This window comes from Homo sapiens, chromosome 6 (genome assembly GCF_000001405.40).
Source record: "Homo sapiens chromosome 6, GRCh38.p14 Primary Assembly".
NCBI lineage: Eukaryota > Metazoa > Chordata > Mammalia > Primates > Hominidae > Homo > Homo sapiens.
This window is the reverse complement of record NC_000006.12, coordinates 4241714-4247713: the sequence shown is the minus strand read 5'-3', so window position 1 is coordinate 4247713 and position 6000 is coordinate 4241714.

The window sequence follows — 6000 nt, the reverse complement described above, 5'->3', positions numbered from 1 at the left end:
ACGAATACATTTAGCCAAAGAGATGAAAAATCTATACACAGAAAATAAAACAATAATGAAAGAAATTAAAGAAGGCATAAATAAATGAAAGAATATTGTGTATTCATGGATTATAAGAATTAATATCACTAAAATGTTCATACTACCTAAAACAATACACAGATTCAACATAATCTCTATCAAAATTCCAATGAACTTTTTTACAGGAACAAATAAAATAATTCTTAAATTCATATGGAACCAAAAAACACCCTGAATAGTCAAAATATTCTTAAGGGAAAAAAAAAAAAAAAAAAAAAAAAAAAACAAAGTTGGAGGCATCACATTCCTAATTTCAAATTGTATTACAAAGCAACAGTAATCAAAACAGTATGGTGGCACATACTTGTAATCCCAGCACTTTGGGAGGCCAAGGCAGGTGAATTGCTTGAGTTCAGGAATTCCAGACTAGCCTGAGCAACATGGCTAAACCCCATATCAAAAATAAATAAATAAATAAGTTGGGTGTGGTGGTATGCACCTGTAGTCCTGCCTACTTGAGAGGCTGAGATGGGAGAATTGTTTCAGCTCAGGAGGTCAAGGCTGCAGTGAGCTGAGACAGCACCACTGCACTCCAGCAAATACCTTGTCTCAAAAAAACCACAGTATAGTACTGGCATAAAAACATATACATAGACCAATGGAACAGAATCAGGAGCCCAGAAATAAATCCAAGCATATATGGTCAATTAATCTTTGGCAATGCCACCAAGAAGACATGATAGAGAAGGGATGGTCTATTCAATAAATAGTGTTGGGAAAATTGGAAATCCACATGCCAAAGAATGAAACTGGACACTTACATTACACCATACACAAAAAAATCAACTCAAAATGGATCAAAGATCTAAATGTAAGACCCAATACCATAAAACTCCTAGGAAAAAAAAAAATAAGAGAAAAGTTCCTTGACGTGGGTCTTGGCAATTATTTTTTGGATATGACACCAAAATAACAGGCAAGAAAAGCAAAACAAAAAATGAAAAAGAAGTAGAACTACATCTGACTAAAAAGCTTCTGCAGAGCAAAGAAAACAATAAACAAAATGAAAAGGCAGCCTACGAATTAGAAGAAAATATTTGCCAACCATTTATCAGGTAAAGGGTTAATCTCCAAAATATACAGGGAACTGACACAACTCAACAGCAAAAAGGCAAATAACCTGATTTAAAAGTAGGTAGCCCTGGCAGGGCGCAGTGGCTCACGCCTGTAATCCCAGCACTTTGGGAGGCCGAGGCAGGCGGATCACAAGGTCAGGAGATTGACACCATCCTGGCTAACACAGTGAAATCCCATCTCTACTAAAAACATAAAAAAATTAGCTGGACATGGTGGCGGGCGCCTGTAGTCCCAGCTACTCGGGAGACTGAGGCAGGAGAACAGTGTGAACCCGGGAGGCAGAGGTTGCAGTGAGCCAAGATCGCACCACTGCACTCCAGCCTGGGCCACAGAGCGAGACTCCGTCTCAAAAAAAAAAAAAAAAAATAGGCAGCCTGGCACGGTGGCTCATGCCTGTAATCCCAGCACTTTGGGGGGCCAAGAAGGGTGGATCACCTAAGGTCAGGAGTTCAAGACCAGCCTGGCCAACATGGTGAAACCCCATCTCTACTAAAAATAAAAAAATTAGCCAGGCATGGTGGCGTGTGTCTGTAATCCCAGCTACTAAGGGGGCTGAGGCAGGAGAATTACTTGAACCCAGGAGGCGGAGGTTGCAGTGAGCCAAGATCATGCCACTGCACTCCAGTCTGGGCAACAGAGCAAGACTCTGTCTCAAAAAAAAAAAAAAATGGACATTTTCCCAAAGACATAAAAATGGCCAAGAATATGAAAAGGTGCTCAACATCACTAATTCACAGGGAAATGCAAATCAAAACCACAATAAGCTATCATCTCATGCCCATTAAGATGGCTGTTAACAAAAGGACATGATATAATAAGTATTGGCCAAGGTGTAGAGAAAGAAAACCTTTGTGCACTGTTGGTGGCAATGCAGATTGGTGTAGCCATTAAGAAAAACAGTATGGAGGTTCCTAAAGAAATTAAAAATAGAACTACCATATGCCCTAGCAATCGCTATTCCAGATATATACCCAAAAGAAATAAAATCAACACTTTGTAAAGATATCTGCACTCCCATGTTCACTGTAGCATGATTCACAGTAGCAAAGATATGGAAACAACCTAAGTGTCTGTGGACAGATGAATGAATAAAGAAGTTGTGGGATATATATATGTGTGTATGTGTGTGTGTGTGTGTGTGTGTGTGTGTGTGTAATATTATTCAGTCTTAAAAAGGAAAGAGATTCAGCCAGGCGCAGTGGCTCATGTCTGTAATCCCAGCACTTTGGGAGGCCGAGGTGGGTGGATCACAAGGTCAGGAGATCGAGACCATCCTGGCTAACAGGGTGAAACCCCATCTCTACTAAAAATACAATTTAAAAAATTAGCTGGGCATGGTGGTGGGCACCTGTAGTCCCAGCTAGTAAGGAAGCTGAGGCAGGAGAATGGCATGAACCAGGGAGGCGGAGCTTTCAGTGAGCTGAGATCACACCACTGCACTCCAGTCTGGGTGACAGAGGGAGACTCCGTCTCAAAATAAATAAATAAATAAGGAAAGAGATTTTGCCATTTGCAACAACGTGGATGAAACTAGGGGACATTATGCTAAGTGAAATAAGCCAGACAGAAAAAGACAAATGCTGCATGATCTCACTTATATATGGATACTTTAAAAAAATCAAATACATACAAACGGAATAGAACAGTGATTACCAAGGGTGGAGGAGTGCAGAAAATAGGAAGATATGAGTACAAAGGTACAAACTTGCAGTTATGTCATATGAATAAGTCTAGAGATGTAGTGTACAATGTGAAGATTATTAATAATATTGTACTGTATGCTGGAAATTTGCCAGAAGGGTCTATCTTAGGTAATCCTACAAGATTAACTAAAAGGAAAGATTAACTTTGTGATATGGTTTGACTTTGTGTCCCCACCCAAATCTCATCTCAAATTGTAATCTCCAGGAGTTTAGGGAAGGACCTCATGGGAGGTGATTGAATCATGGGGTGGTTTCCCCATGCAGTTGTCGTGATAGTGAGTTCTCACAAGATCTAATGGTTTTATGCGTGTTTGACAGTTCCTTCTTCACAAGGGTTCACTTTGCTGCCACCTTGTGAAGAAGGTGCCTGTTTCGCCTTCTGCCATAATTGGAAGTTTCCTGAGGCCTCCTCAGCCTTGCAAAACTGTGAGTTAATTAAATCTCTTTTCTTTGTAAATTACCCAGTCTCAGGTAGTATCTTTATAGCAGTGTGAAAATAGACTAATACAGAGAATTGGTACCAGCACAGCGGGGTACTGCTATAAAGATAACTGAAAATATGGAAAAGACTTTGGAACTGGGTAGAGATTGGAACAGTTTGGAGGGCTCAGAAGAAGACAGAAATATGTGGAAAAGTATGAAACTTCCTAGAGACTTGTTGAATGGTTTTGACCAAAATGCTGATAGTAATATGGACAATGAAGTCCAGGCTGAGGTGGTCTCATATGGAGATGAAGAACTTACTGGGAACTGAAGCAAAGGTCACTCTTGCTATGCCTTAGCAAAGAGACTGGTGGCATTTTGCCCTTGCCCTAGAGATCTGTGGACTTTTGAACTTGATAGAGATTATCTGAAATTGGAACTTACATTTAAAAGGGAAGCAGAGCATAAAAGTTTGGAAAATTTGCAGTCTGACAATGCAATAAAAAAAGAAAACCCCATTTTCTGGGGAGAAATTCAAGCCTGCTGCAGAAATTTGCATAAGTAACGAGTAGCCAATGTTAATCACCAAGATAATGGGGGAAATGCCTCCAGGGCATGTCAGAGATCTTGGTGGCAGCCTCTCCCATCAGAGGCCCAGAGGCCTAGGAGGAAAAAATAATTTTTGTGCCAGGCCCAGGGCCCCCCAGCTCTGTGTAGTCTCAGGACTTGGTGCCCTGTGTCCCAGCTGCTTCAGCTCCAGCTGTGGCTAAAAGGGGCCAAGGTACAGCTTGGGCAGTTGCTTCAGAGGGTGTAAGCCCCAAGCCTTGGGAGCTTCCACATAGTGTTGGGCCTGTGGGTGCACAGAAGTCAAGAATTGAGGTTTGGGAACCTCCATCTAGATTTCAGACAGTGTATGGATGTCCAAGCAAAAGTCTGCTGCAAGAGTGGAGCCCTCGTGGAGAACCTTTACTAAGGCAGGGTGGAAAGGAAATGTGGGGTTGGAGCCCCAGCACAAAGTCCCCACTGGGGCACTGCCTAGTGGGGCTGTGAGAAGACGGTCACCATCCTTCATACCCCAGAATGGTAGATCCACTGACAGCCTGCGCTCTGTACCTGGAAAAGCCACAGGCACTCAATGCCAGCCTGTGAAAGAGCTGCCCAAGGCCATGGGAGCCCACCCCTTGCATCAGTGTGCCCCAGATGTGAGACATGGAGTCACTGGAGATCATTTTGGAGCTTTAAGATTTAATTATTACCCCGCTGGATTTGGGACTTGCATGGGGCTGTGGCACCTTTGTTTTGGCCAATTTTTACCACTTGGAATAGATCTATTTGCCCAATGCCTGGACCTCATTGTATCTAGGAAGTAACCAATTTGCTTTTGATTTTATAGGCTTATAGGTGGAATGGACTTGCCTTGTCTCAGATGAGACTTTGGACATTGGGCTTTTGAGTTAATGCTGAAATGAGTTAAGACTTTGGGAGACTGTTGGGAAGGCATGATTGGTTTTGAAATGTAAAAAGGACATGAGATTTGGGAGCGGCCAAGGGTGGAATGACAGGGTTCAGCTTTCTCTCCCCACCCAAATTCCATCTGGAATTGTAATCTCCAGGTGTTGAGGGTGGGACCTCATACATAATTGAATCACGGGGGCAGTTTCTGCATGCTGTTCTCATGATAGTGGGTTTTCATGAGATCTCACGGTTTTATAAGTGCTTGACAGTTTCTCCTTCACTTGTGCTCTCTCTCCAGCTGCCTTGTGAGGAAGGTGCTTGCTTTGCCTTCTGCCGTGATTGTTAAGTTTCCTGAGGCCTCCCCAGCCATGCAGAACTGTGAGTCAATTAACCCTCCTTTCCTTTATAAATTACCCAGTCTCAGGTAACTCTTTATTATAGCAGTGTGAGAAAGGACTAACATAGTATGTGAGACGACGAATATATTAATTAACTATAGTAATCACTTCACCATATATATGTATTATCAGAACACCACATTGTATACCTCAAATATAGACAAGTTTTAAAATAAGAAAAATAAAACAAAACTACTATTTGTTCCCCTTTTTGAAAAAAAACACATACACACGGAACATTGATCCAGATACACTGTATGCTGGGCCATAAAGCAAGTCTCAACAAATGTCAAAGGATTGCAATCATACAAAATATTGAATTAAACTAAAAAATAAGCTTTTTAAAAGTCATTAGAAAATCCTGGGCCAGGCACGGTGGCTCACACCTGTAATCCTAGCACTTAGGGAGCCCAAGATGGGTGGATCATCTTAGGTCAGGAGTTCGAGACCAGCCTGGCCAACATGGTAAAACCCCATCTCCACTAAAAATACAAAAATTAGCCAGGTGTGGTGGCAGGTGCCTGTAATTCCAGCTACTCAGAGGCTGAGGAAAGAGAATCATTTGAATCCAGGAGGTGGAGGTTGCAGTGAGCCAAGATCATGCCACTGCACTCCAGCCTGGGTGACACAGTGAGACTCCATCTCAAAAAAAAAAAAAAAAAAAAAAAAAGAAAGAAAAGAAAAAGAAAATCCTATATACACCATGGAACACTATGCAGCCATAAAAAGGAATGAGATCATGTCCTTGGCAGGGACATGGATGAAGCAGGAACCCCTTAGCCTCAGCAAACTAACCCAGGAACAGAAAACCAAACACTGCATGTTCTCACTTATAAGTAGGAGTTGAAAGATGAGAACACATG